This window comes from Homo sapiens, chromosome 12 (genome assembly GCF_000001405.40).
Source record: "Homo sapiens chromosome 12, GRCh38.p14 Primary Assembly".
NCBI lineage: Eukaryota > Metazoa > Chordata > Mammalia > Primates > Hominidae > Homo > Homo sapiens.
This window is the reverse complement of record NC_000012.12, coordinates 68,591,609-68,606,068: the sequence shown is the minus strand read 5'-3', so window position 1 is coordinate 68,606,068 and position 14,460 is coordinate 68,591,609. Positions and strand designations below refer to the sequence as shown.

The 14,460-nt window shown below is 39.5% G+C and overlaps 1 annotated feature.

Moving 5' to 3' along the window:
• Positions 13,791-14,000: an enhancer, noted in NCBI's record as "active region_6640". NCBI's record gives its function as "activates an Ori minimal core promoter by ATAC-STARR-seq in GM12878 lymphoblastoid cells {active_cell/tissue: GM12878}" and the evidence as "EXISTENCE:reporter gene assay evidence [ECO:0000049][PMID:35858748]".

The window sequence follows — 14,460 nt, the reverse complement described above, 5'->3', positions numbered from 1 at the left end:
TTTCCTCTCCTTTCCTCTTTTTTTGAGACAGAGTCTCACTGTTGCCCAGGCTGGAGTGCAGTGGCGTGATCATGGCTCACTGCAGCCTCCAACTCCCAGGCTCAATCAGTCTTCTGCCTCAGCCTCCCAAGTAGCTGGGACTACAGGCAAGTGCCACCACACTCGGCTAATGTTTCTATTTTTTGTAGAGACAGGGGTCTCACCATATTGCTTAGGCTGCTCTTAAACTCCTGGGTTCAAGTGATCCTCCCACCTTAGATGCCCAAAATGCTGGGATTACAGGTGTGAGCCACTGTGCTGATCATATTTCTTATCTTTATAAGAAACACAGTTTGGTGCTTTCCACATAATAGGCATTTAAGATATATTTGCTGAGTTTTCTTTTCCTAAGGTAGTGTGAAATGGCAGAGGGGGTGAGAATCAGAGTCCAGCTCTTATTATACTTATTAGCCTAGTGGTCTTGGAAAAATCCCATTATCATGTTGAATCTCAGTTTCCTCATCTATAACATGGGATGATAATATCTGCCTTACAGAACTGTTGTAAAATAGTGTGTAGAAAATAGCAATGTCTCAGTCTCTGGAACAAGAAGCAGCTCAAAGCAAGTTTTTCCCCTTTTAAAGAAAGTGAATTAATAGTGTCCTTAACTATTTAACCTGATAACAGTATTTCTAATTTTTCATATTATTTACTTCCTTAAAAGTTTTACTTTTTTTTTTTTTTGAGACAGAGTTTCACTCTTTCCCAGGCTGGAGTGCAGTGGCACAATCTTGGTTCACTGCAACCTCCGCCTCCCCGGGTTTAAGTGATTCTCCTGCCTCAGCCTCCCAAGTAGCTGGGATTACAAGCGTGCGCCACTACGCCTGGCTAATTTTTGTATTTTTGGTAGAGACAGGGTTTCACCATATTGGCCAGGCTGGTCTCAAACTCCTGACCTCAGGTGATCCGCCCACCTCAGCCTCCAGCCTCCCAAACTGTTGGGATTACAGGCATGAGCCACCGTGCCTGGCCAAAAGTTTTACTTTAAAGGAATAACATCTATGCTTCATTGGTTTCACTTTAAAAAGTCCATATGAGTAGCGGTCTTATTGCAAATCCAAAATTGGATTTTTAAAAGACCCAGATTTATAATTTTCCTAATTGACAGTTAATGATTATCAATGTAAACATTTAACTTCCAGTTTATCATGGTTATCAGTAACATTAATGTTCCTTAACATTAAACATTAGTATATTATTTCATTCACAAATTAACAATATTGAATTTGATCCTTTCACTTCCTTACTGGCTTTTCCCTCTGATGTGTGTGTGTGTGTATGCATGTATTATATAAATCTATGTATGTATATATAGTGTATGGTATATAAATACAGTTCTGTACCTTTGCAACACCCTGTGTGACTGGGTTGGGAAGTTGTAAAGAATAAGAAGACTGCTTATTAGATGCAAAAGAGAAAAAATACATGGCTTACATCTCTAGTTATTAGTTTGTAGACAGCTGCTTTAAAAAAAAAGAAAGCAAGAAAAAGAAAAAAATTACATCTTCAGTAGTTTCCTTCTATTTTCTTGGTCAAAGACTGCATTCCAAACTCAATGCAGTTATTTTATAAATTCTACCACTTAATCACACAGGAGACCAGGTAAGAGCATATTAGACCATTGCTATTATGAGAAAACACTCAGAACTCATACTCTCCTAGGGTAGTTTGTGTTCCTCTAAGATTTCTGTTTTGGGGAAACCATGCACTTATATATAAGAAAAATGAAGCAGCTTGGCATGTTTCTATTCTGTGTAATAACTGTAATAACTGCTTATTTGTCTCAAGATATATTTCAAATTCTGTCTATACTCAGTTTCAGCAGTTGTGGGCTTGACCACCAAACCTGCCTACACCACATTAAATAAATCTAACAGCCCTCTAATTTTGTCATTGCTAAGGTCTGTGATGTAAGGAACAGATTATACTTAAAATTTCCCCATCTCAAGTCTTAGCTGAGAAAAACCGTAAAAATGAAAATGGCATTACCAGAGCCATCATGTAAATGAGTGTTAAAAGCACAAAACTATTGGAAAAACCAACTTCATAAAATATACCCTATTATGAAATTTTCAAAAGAAATTTTAAATTAAGAAAATCTTCAAAAACCACATATACTTTCAGAATCTGGGCTGTCCCCAAATCAAACAGCTAATATGCCCAATATGCGCGAGTCAAGCATTTCTTGGGACTTTATTATTAGGATAGTATTTAGCTTCTGGTTCCAGTTATGGCCAAGTCCTGTGTATGAGTCACGTATCTCAGTAATAGTTATCAAATTCCAAGAGGTAGGTTTTAAAGACCCATTATAAAGATGAGAAAATTTCTTCTATTTTGTATTTATCTAAATCTTAGTCATTCTTCAAGACCCAGTGGTCCCTTCCTTCTCTGAATTTTCCAAATAATTGTTGTTTGTACCACTCCATTTGGTACTTATCATACATTGCCTTACTTAAGTTGCTTTTGTCTTCTTTCCATTCTGAGATCCTCAAAAACCGAAACTGTATCTTAAACTTCTTTGTACCTACTATACTGCCAGGCATTACAGATTAGAATCAAATGTAGGGGGAGGTCTTTCTAATCTTGGTTAGAGTCTCCAAATTAATCATAGTGGATTTACCTCTGGCAGTTATTTAGCCTTTGAAAGTTTCTCTTTATTAATCTTTATTCTTTTTTAAATTTCAAGACAGGGTGTTGCTCTGTCGGCCAGGAGTGCAGTGGCATGATCACAGCTAACTGCAGCCTCAAACTCCTCGGCTCAAGAAATCCTCCCACTTTAGCCTCCTGAGTAGCTGGACTACAGGCAGGCACTACTGTGCCCCACTAAATGTTTAAATTTTTTTTGTGGAGACAGGGGTCTCTCTATACTGCCCAGCCTGGTTTCAAACTCCTGGGCTTCAGTGATCCTCCTGCCTTGGCCTCCCAATATGTTGGGATTCGAGGCGTGAGCCACTATGCCTGGCCTTTTTATTAGTCTTTAAAATGCTCATAACAATGTTTATAATTTAGGCCTTTTAAAAGGATTTAAAATAGGTCACATGTCAAAATGGAAGTAATATAGAGTAGTGGTTAAGCGGACCAGCTCTGATGCCATACTCCACATGTCGAAATACAGGCTCTACTCATCCTGAGGAATTTACTTCGGGTACTTCAGTTTTCTCATTTGTAAAATGAGTACAATAATATAACCTATGTCATGGGTTATTGTGAGAATTAAATGAGTTCACAGTACAAATAGAATAGTGCTTACCACAGAGTAAGCACTCTATTAACTACTGGCTATCATCATCTAACGGATTATCAATATATGTTGCTTTCTGCTACTTCCTCTGGCACAATAATGCTTTGTGCAAACATAGTAAGAATTCAACAAATGTTTATTAAACTTTCACATTGCTTTGCTTATGACAGTTCTCAAAAATTGGTTGTGTTTGTCAGTAGTTTGCAATTTGAAGATATTTCTGCAATGGAAACAATGCTATAAAGTTTATACCATGAGTACGTTAACATGCTATTTGATTATTAGGGAAGCTCAAAAAAAGTCTATTTTAGGCCAAGTAATCCCAGCACTTTGGGAGGCCAAGCCAGGCAGATCACCTGAGGTCAGGAGTTTGAGACCAGCCTGGCCAACAAGGTGAAACCCCAACTCTACTAAAAATACAAAAAAATAGTCAGGTATGGTGGCGGGCACCTGTAATCCCAGCTACTTGGGAGGCTGAGGCAGGAGAATTGCTTGAACCCAGGAGGCAGAGGTTACAGTGAGCTGAGATTGTGCCACTGCACTCCAGCTTGGGTGACAATAGTGAAATTCCATCTTAAAAAAGAAAAGTTTTTTTGTTCCCTTAGTTTTTACAGCACCACATTCTCATGGTTTCCTCCTTTCTCTGACTGCTCCTTCTCAATTTCTCTTTGGCCTGTCCCTTCCTCTTCCTGTCCTTTAAGGGTTGCAGTCCCTCAGAATTTGATCCTGGAGTTTTTCCTTATATATTTCTGCTGGGCAATTTTATAGTCTTGCCCATGTTTTTACATGCTGTCTAATAGCCAATAACTCATAGATCCCTATCTGCAGTTCAGACTTCTCTGCTGAGCTCCAGATGCATAGAGCCAGTTGCCTCCTGGAAAGCTTTCCTTGATGACCTCCTTCAAGACTGCTCTTCCTCCAGGAATCCTCCTATCAATAAATGGCACCAGCTCCCTGAAACAGAAATCTGCCACTTCCCTCTACCTTATTCCACGTAGCAAATTCTTCAGCAAATCCTATTGATTCTGACTGACTCCAGAGTCAGTCAGTCAAATCTAACTACTTTTCTTTATTTTTATTGTCTGGCTGGTTTATTTATGTGCTTTCACTTTGTCCTTCCTCTCAACTAGTCTCTAAATAGCAGTGTTAATTAAAAAAAAAAAACAAAAACTTTTTCTTATGGCAAATTTTGAACATAAATAAATAGAAGAGTTTAATGAATCACCATGTCCTCATCATTCCATTTCAACATTTAACCTCAGTTTGCTAATCTTGTTTCATCCATCCTCTCTATTTTTCTGGTTGGAGTAGTTTAAAGAAAATCCAAGACATCATTTTGTTTTACTTATAAATAATTCAGTATGCATTCCCCACAGATAGAACATTTAAAAAATATAACCACGATGCCATTGTCACATGTAACAAAATTAAAAATGATTCCTTATTTGGGAGGCCAAGGCGGGTGGATCACTCGGTCAGGAGATCGAGACCATCCTGGCTAACATGGTGAAACCCCATCTCTACTAAAAATACAAAAAATCAGCAGGGCATGGTGGCGGGTGCCCGTAGTCCCGGCTACTTGGGAGGCTGAGGCAGGAGAATGGCGTGAACCCGGGAGGCGGAGCTTGCAGTGAGCAGAGATTGTGTCACTGCACTCCAGCCTGGGCGACAGTGCGAGACTCTATCTCAAAAAAAATAAATAAATAAAAATAAATAAATAAATACATACATACATACATAAAAATGATTCCTTAACACAATCTAATATCCAGGTCATATTTAAAATTTCCTGATTGTACCAAAGATAACTTTTTACTGCTTGTTTGTTTAATTCATAGTCCAAACAAATCCAAACATTACATTTAATTGTTGTGTCTCTTAAATATCTCTTATTTATTTTATTTTATTTTTTTAGAGTCGAGGTCTTGCTCTGTAGCCCAAGGCTGGAGGGCAGTGGACAGTCACAGCTCACCGCAGCCTCAAACTCCTAGCCTTAAGCAATTCTCCTGCCTCAACCTCCCAAAGTTCTGGGATTACAGGTGTGAGCCACTGAGCTCAGCCCTTAAATCTCTTTTAGTCTCTAACAGTCTCTCCTCCTTTTGTTGAGTGAATGGCCATTTGTATTTTTTTTGTGTGTGTGATGTGTCTTTCCTTATTTTTCAGCTTTTGTATAAATGACATCACTTCAGGTCAATACCTTCATAAGTACTCCGTAGCAAAAATGCTATGGCTTTTACATTACACATCTTTATCTATAATATAAATACAAGGCTGAGAAAGTAAGGACCCTCTTCTATACACACATATTTTTATTATGTGAAGAAAACATGGAAAGTGGATTGAAAATCCAGACAAGAAGTGCAGTTAATAATTAAGCAACTGCTACATAGTAGGAACTCATCTCATTTGATCCTTTCAAAAATCCTTTGAGTTGGGTATTTTTATTCCCATTTTCAGATTAGAAAACAGGTTGCTGGAGGCTAATTTAGAAATATGGGGCTGCAATGTCAGCCTGAGGCAGAAGCCCAGGTCCCCATTTCTAGGGATCTCATGGTCATTCCTTTCCATCTGGTTACAGTGCTGACTACAGCAGTGTAATGAAGAATATAATGGGGTAATGAAGGATGGTTTAAATAGGGAGAAAGCTACCAAAGGATAGTTCTGGTAGATGCTTTACCAAATCAAAAAGAAGAAAAAAGAGTCATACCCGGGTGTGTGTTGTGGGCAGACTATTTTGTCTGAAGGTGAATATATTTGAGAAAACAATTACTCAGTGGGGTTCTGATAAAAGTATAACAAAGTTTAATAGTGGCAGAGCAGCATTCTAAGGGCATGTATTTTTCAGTGCCCTGTGCTAGCTGATTCTGTCCATTTCTTTTTTCTTTTTAAAATTACATCCTGGCTGGGCACGACAATTTGGGAGGATGAGGTGGGAGTATCGCTCAAGCCCAGGAGTTTGAATGGTAACATAGTAAGTCCCACTTTCTATAAAAAATTAAATAAAAAAAATTAGGCCGGGCACGGTGGCTCACACCTGTAATCCCAGCACTTTGGGAGGCCGAGGCGGGCGGATCAACTGAGGTCGAGAGTTCAAGACCAGCCTGACCAACATGGAGAAACCCTGTCTCTACTAAAAATACAAAAATTAGCTGGGCACGGTGTCGCGCGCCTATAATCCCAGCTACTCGGGAGGCTGAGGCAGGAGAATCGCTTGAACCCGGGAGGCGGAGATTGTGGTGAGCCAAGATTGTGCCACTGCACTCCAGCCTGGGCAACAAGAGCAAAACTGCATCTCAAAAAAAAAAAAAAAAAAAAAAAAAAAAACTAGCAGGGTGCAGTGGCACACACCTATAGTCCCAGTTACCTGGGAGACTGACATGGAAGGATTGCCTGAGGCCTGAGACAGGGAGGTCAAGGCTGCAGTGAGCCATGATTATGCCTCTGGACTCCAGCCTGGGCAACAGAGCACGATTCTGTCTTAAAAAAAAAAAATTACATTCTTTTGCCTTTTTTAAGATTGACTTTAACATCACTGATGTGTTTGCACATTTCCTTCCTGCTTCATAGTAGAACTCAGAACCACAACTTTTTTTCTCTAGGATCCCTTTCCCCTTCTGTCTCTTATCTAAATTCTTCAGAGGTTGTCATGTCCTTAATGCTTGAAAAAGCATGTCAAAAACTCGTTAGCCAAGGGAGGAAAATTATGTTTAAAATATATTTGGTCTGAAAATTCTATCTGGTTCACCAGTCTGCCTCATGTACCTACATTTGCCCAAGCTGTGAACCACCCCAGCCTCTTCCGACTGTTATTCATGATACTGGCCTAAGATGACACATGAGAATCTCCCTAGATGTTCACACATTTATAAATGCTTCATAAATGGAGATGTCCACAAAAAACAAAAGGCAAAGAATAATTGGCCAATAGCAAAGAGAAGCAAGGTATTTAAAATACCTTAGTTTTTTTTTTTTTTTTTTGAGACAGAGTCTCACTCCATTGCCCAGGCTGGAGTGCAGTGGCACCATGTCGGCTCACTGCAACCTCCCTCTCCTGGGTTCAAGCAGTTGTCCTGCCTCAGCCTCCAGAGTATCTGGGATTACAGGCACCTACCACCATGCCCGGCGAATTTTTTTATATTTTTAGTAGAGACAGGTTTCACCATGCTGGCCAGGCTGGTCTCGAACTCCTGACCTCAGGTGATCCACCTGCCTCGGCCTCCCAAAGTGCTGGGATTACAGGCATCAGCCACCATGTCTGGCCTAAAATATCTTAGTTAGTGGGTATATACCCAAAACAACTGAATCCAACTGCAACAGATATTTGCCCTCCCATGCTTATAGCAGTACTATTCACTATAGTCAAAAGATGGAAACAACCCAAGTGCTGATAAAGAAATGAATGGATAAACAAAATGTGGTATGTATATAATGGAACACTGCAGATGCCAAAATCCATGGATGCTCAAGTCCCTTATATAAAATGGCATAGTATTTGCATATAACCTATGCACATCCTCTTGTATTCTTAAATCATCTCATCTAATAATACCATGTGAATGCTATGCAAATAGTTGTTATACTGTATTGTTTTAAAATTTTTTTTTAATTTCAAAAAAAACACTTTTAATCTGAGGTTAGTTGAATCTAAGGATGTGGAACTGGTGGATGTGGAGGGCCGGCTGTAGTAATTAGCCTTAAAAAGGAAGGACATTCTGACACATGCTACAACATGGATGAACCTTGAGGACATTATGCTAAGTGAAATAAGCCAGCCACAAACAGACAAATATTGTACGATTCCACTCATATGAGGTACCTAGAGTAGTAAAATTCATATAGACAGAAAGTAGAATGGTGGTCAGGGGCTGGGGTGAGGGGAGTTTGTGTTTAATGAGTGCAGAGTAAGTTTGGGAAGATTAAAAATTTCTGGAGATGAATAGTGGTGATGGTTGAAGAACAACATGAATGTATTTAATGCTGCAGAACTGTACATTTATTTTATTTTTTTGAGACTGAGTCTTGCTTTGTTACCCAGGCTGGAGTGCAGTGGCACAATCTCAGCTCACTGCAACCTCTACCTCCTGGGTTCAAGTGATTCTCATGCCTCAGCCTCCTGAGTAGCTGGGATTACAGGTGTGCACCATCGGCCCTCCTCAACCTCCCAAAGTTCTGGGATTACAGGCATGAGCCACTGTGCCCAACTGAGAACTGTACATTTAAAAATGATTCCATTGGTACATTTTATGTATATTTTGCTGCAATTTTTAAGGAATGTCTTGATTAAGAAAGAGCTTGGGCTTTTAGTCAGAAAGCCTGGGTTCAAATTCTGACTTCATAAATTATTAGCTGTGAGAACTCACACTATTTCCATATCTTAAGTTTGAGTTTCTTCACAGAAAAAAATGAGTCTAAAACTAGTATGGGCTTTATAGGCTTGTGAGGATTAAATGAAAGAATCCATTTAAAATCCTTTGCACACTGCCTTGTCCCTAGTCAGCATTCGATGAATGTTAGTTACTTTGATTTTATTATCATTTATTAATATCTAGACTCACTTTTAAAGGTTATATTGATAGATTTTCCCATGGATTTTTAGGAATTCAGTCCATACTTAGATTTCTTAATTCCATGGTTCCTGGCGGTGATTTTAGTATCTGCCAAAGGTAGCTCATCCAGAGACACTGATGAATAGTATGAAGTTCTGATGTGTTTGTGAGGTTTGATGGAAAGAACAAAGGTATTAGAATAATTATAAAAGTATTCTTTTATATTTGGGAAAGAAAATTTTCAGCTGCTTTCTCTCAACCATTGGAAAATAAATTGCAAGGAAAATAACAGTGATTTTTTAAATATTCTGAAACTTTAGATAATTTTTCAATTGTTGGGTAGTATTTGCTGTGTAATCCAATAGTTACAACTACAGGGAAATTTCCTGTAGCCTAGATCATACTTTCTGGAAAGCAGGTACTGAGTATCTGATGTCTTGTGTAATTACAGAACAATAATCATGAAGTATCTCAATTTTACACTCAGAAGTATGATCCTTTTGTGAGTAATTTTGTTGTGTGTTTGAGAAACAACAGAGAGAACTATGGAGCTGCTGCCTTTTGAAAAGGGGAAACTCAAATAATATAAGGGAGGCAGTGTGTCAAGCTTTTTACAAATGAAACCTCCAACCCTTCAAGGTTGCCATTATTATCAACACTATTTTAAAGGCAAAGAAAGAGGCTCAGAACTTGCCTGTGTGTGCAGAGAGCCAGAATTTTGAATATAGGTCGATTTGGCTTCAAAGCTCATGCTCCTTCTCTCAAAGCTATTTTGAATATAGGTTGATTTGGCTTCAAAGCCCATGCTCCTTCTCTCAAACAAGCCACTTGTTACTATCACAGGAGCTAGCTTCACTTTTGGAGCTGCTGCACGTTCTGAAATCACTTTGGAACTACTGCTGTCTCTGATGGAATGTAGTGGTGGCTCTTTCTTCTCTAGCCTGCGCTCTGCTAAGGGAAAGAAGCTGCTGCCTAGAGAAAATAAATCATAAGGGGCATAATGAGACCTCTATTGCCCAGAGATATTTCTTCTCTCTTATTTGACCCGAAATCACCACTATTAAAGCCATTCTTGGTTTACAAAACAAAAGTGCCACTGTCTTCAGAAATCCTCTGTTACAGTATACATATGTTACCTGAGAGTAAGAAGGAGAGACTGAGAGTTTCTTCTAGTTCTCTCATTAGCAGTTTAGTTTGTCAGTTAAACCAGTTGTCTCCTGAAAGGCCTAGATAGACTATCCCAGGCAAGACACACTTGACAAGTGAGTGTCACTAGTGCTCAGTGCCCTAGGGCTCAGAGAGGTCAGCAGGTCTGGCCGGAGGTCCTGAAACCTGAGCAGTGACGGGGCAGATTGTGGACCCTGAAATGATAGAGAATAAGCCTCAACTATGGCTGCTTATAGTAGTGACCGTTGGTTGGTTGCAAGCAGCAACCAACCTGACCTACCTTAAACAGAATGGGAATGTATTAGAAAAATGCAGCGGTATCTCAGGAAATGATGGAATTATTGAATGGCCAGGCCTCAGGAAGGATGGAACTAAGGAAAGTCCTGGGACTGCAGTGGCAGTTGATGGAGGCCCCAGCCTATGACCATCCAATGATCCGACTTGATTTCCAATCCCAGTGTTTCTCAAACCTCAAGTAAGAATGAGAATATGATATGTTCAGCTTAGATTATTGTTCACTCTTGGCTTACTCAGCAATGGCTGTGTTTTGGGGAGGGGCAGGGTTAGGTCCCATGGGAAGTTCACACAAAAGAAACAGGAACCTTCCTTGTGGGCAAACTAGGCAGTTTCGGAGAAGAGGGGCTGGGGTGACACTACGGGACACCCGCCACATACCTTCACAGAAACAGATCTTCTCTGGGGAGTTATTTTGTAGGGGAAATTGCTTTGGCATAGTCTAGCATAGTGGTTAAGAGTATGCATACTTTAGAGCTAGATTGCCTGAGTTCAAATACCAGCTCTGCTAATTCCTGGGCAATCTACTGAAGTATTTTGTGTATCTGTTTGCATACCTCTAGAGTAGTGATAATAATAGTACCTACTACCTGAGAGCATTAGAACTAAATGAATTATGCCGGGTGCAGTGGCCCATGCCTGTAATCCTAGTACTTTGGGAGGCGGAGGTGGTTGGATCACGAAGTAGGAGTTTGAGACCAGCCTGGCCAGCATGGTGAAACCCTGTCTCTACTAAAAATACAAAAATTAGCTGGGCATGGTGGCATGCACCTGTAATCCCAGCTACTCGGGAAGTTGAGGCAGGAAATCACTTGAACTTAGGAGGCGGAGGTTGCAGTGAGCTGAGATCGCACCACTGCACTCCAGCCTGGACAACAGAGCCTGACGCCATCTCAAAAAAAAAAAAAAAAAAAAAAAAAAGAACGAAATGAATTAATACCAGCAAAGAGTTTAAAACAGTGCCTGAAAAACAGTATGCCCTTGATAAATAGCTATTATTATCTTGGCCTATGGGGCAACATAATATTTACTGAAACCATTAAATGGGTCCACCTCACTTAAAAAATACCCAGTGAGGCTCTTTTTACAAGTAATTTTATGAAAGAGGGGAACAATCAGATAAACATTTTGTTTTGAAATGTGGATTTAGTTTAACTTAGGCATAAATATAGATGCAAGAAATAAAAAAATGAGGATATAAAACTATTAAGAAAAAACATAAAGCAAAAAAAGAAAAAGAACAAGAACAAAAAGGGTTACAACACCAAAAGCAAAATTTATAAAAGAAAAGCTGATAAATGTGAATTCATCAAAATTAAAAACCTTTGCTCTTCAAAAGGTACAATTAAGAGAATAAAAAAACAAGGCCAGGGGCTGTGGTTCATGCCTGTAATCCCAGCACTTTGGGAGGCTGAAGCAGGCAGATCACTTGTGGTGAAACCCTATCTCTATTTAAAAAAAAAAAATACAAAAATTAGCTGGATGTGGTGGTGTGGACCTGTGATACCAGCCACTCGGGAGGCTGGGGCAGGAGAATCACTTGAACCCGGGAGGCAGAGGTTGCAGTGAGCTGAGATAGCGTCATTGCACTCCAGCCTAGGCACCAGAGTGAGACTCCATCTCAACAACAGAAGGAAAAGATGGCCAGGCATGGTGGCTCACACCTGTAATCCCAGCACTTTGGAAGGCTGAGGTGGATGGGTCACTCAAGGCCAGGAATTCGAGACCAGCTTGACCAACATGGCGAAACCTTGTCTCTACCAAAAATACAAAAAATTACCCAGGTGTGGTGGTAATCCTAACTACCTAGGAGGCTGAGACACAAGAATTGCTTGAAGCTGGGAGGAAGAGGTTGCAGTGAGCCGAGATTGAGCCACTGCACTCCAGCCTGGGGGACAGAGCAAGATTCTGTCTTAAAAAAACAAAACAAACAAAAAACGAACAACAATAACAAAAAACAAAACAAGCTACAGACTAAAAGAAGATATTTGCAAATCATATATCTGATGAAACACTTGTATCAAGAGTAAAAAATACCACTTATAACTAATAAGAAGACAAATTACCCTATTAACAAAAGGGCAGAAGATTTGACAGATATTTCACACAAAAAAGCTATATGAATGGCTAATGAACATATGAAAAGATCCTCAACATCTTTGGTTTGGGAAATGCAAATTAAAAGTCATAATGAAATACCACTGTTCGACTGACTATAGCAATATAGGAGATGTGGAGAAACTGGAATGCATGTGTATGGAGGAACTGGAATGCACATTACCACAAGAATGTGAAAAGGTGCAGCCACTTTGGCAATATCTTAAAAAGTTAAACATAAATTTAGCATGTGACCCAGCAATTTATTTCCTACAGGTCTACCTGAGAAAATAAAGAAATGTATATATACTCATGCTAAGACTTGTATAAAAATGTTTATAAAAGCATTATTTAAAATAGCTAAAAGGCCGGGCACGGTGGCTCATGGCTGTAATCCCAGCACTTTGAGAGGCCGAGGCGGGCTGATCACCTGAGGTCAGGAGTTCGAGACCAGCCTGGCCAACATGGTGAAATCCTGTCTCTACTAAAAATACAAAAATTAGCCAGGCAAGGTGGCAGGCATCTGTAATCCCAGCTATTTGGGAGGCTGAGGCAGGAGAATTGCTTGAACCCAGGAGGCAGAGGTTGCATTGAGCCAAGATCGTGCCATTGCACTCCAGCCTGGGCAACAAGAGAAAACTCCGTCTTAAAAACAACAACAACAAAAAAAAAGCTGTTTATATATGTATATACACACATCTATATATATATGTATATACACACATCTATATATATACACACACATCTATATACATATGTATATATACACACACATCAGTAGTTTGTTCACACAGGTGAACTTCAAAAACAGTATGAGAAACAAAAGGAGACAGACACAAAAGACTATATCTTGCATGATTCTATTTATGTGAAATTTCTAGAAAATTTAAATCCACAGAGACAAAAAGCAGAATAGTAATTCCCTGGGGCTTAGGATGAGACTGGGAATTGACTGCAAATGTGTGCAAGAGAAATTTTGGGGGTAATAGAAATGTTTGAAAATTGGATTGTAGTGGTGGTTGCACAACTGCATAAACTTACTAAAATCACTGAGGTGTACACTTAACAGGTGAATTTTATGGTATGTAAATTATACCTCAAGAAAGCTGCTTCTGTCCTATATTTCAGTCTGACATACCAGTAAAAACTATAGCTAAAAACACTTATGAAAGAACTCTTTTAGTTCAACACTATTTGCTGAAACTTTGTTTTTGCTTCAAAATGTTTTATACCCAGTTCCACCCCATCTCCCATCTCACTTATCCATCCTAGAGTACTAACTTTATCAGGGTTGCTAAATCATGTATAGACAATGGAGTCTAACGTGATTTCATAATGAGACTTTAGGTTCCAGTGTTTACTGATATTTAAAAAAAATGCATCTGGAAAAGCCACAGGCACCCAGTGCCAACCTATGAGAGCAGCTGCGGGGGCTGAACCCTGTGGTTCAACCCCTCATCTCTACCCTGAGACTTTAGGTTGAGATTCTTTATGAACTGTGTTTGTATAGGTCTAGCTATTCCCTTTCTATTTGATACTGGGCAGATCCAAATTTTACTGAAATGTGAGAAACCATTCTCCAAGGAAAATTCACCAGTGCTGATTTCTAGAGCTGCCAGCTAATACCCAGGAATTTATTTTCTCTGTCTTCAAAGTGCCATACTACCCTAACCCTGACAGGAAGAAAACAACTTTCAGGTTGAGCGCCACATCAAAAAGGCTTCTCCTGTTACTAAAAAAAAAAATTTCATTCACTTGATAGTTACTTCCTGTGTCAAACTATCAGATGTTCCCCTTGAATGCAGCCATCTGGAGGTTTGTTGTTTGTTTTACGCCAACATGTTAACATAAGGCACGTGGAGGGAACAACATCCATTTGTTTACGTATCTAGCTATCCAGCTATGCATCTATCATCTACACATTCAACAATGGTTTCTTGAGTACCTGCTATGTACTATGAGACTTCGAAGCCTCAACTCTTGCATTCGTGCAATACACATACATGACCAAATCTCATGTCAAATTGTAATCCCAACTCTTGCATTCTTGCATATACTATACATATCCAAATTAAG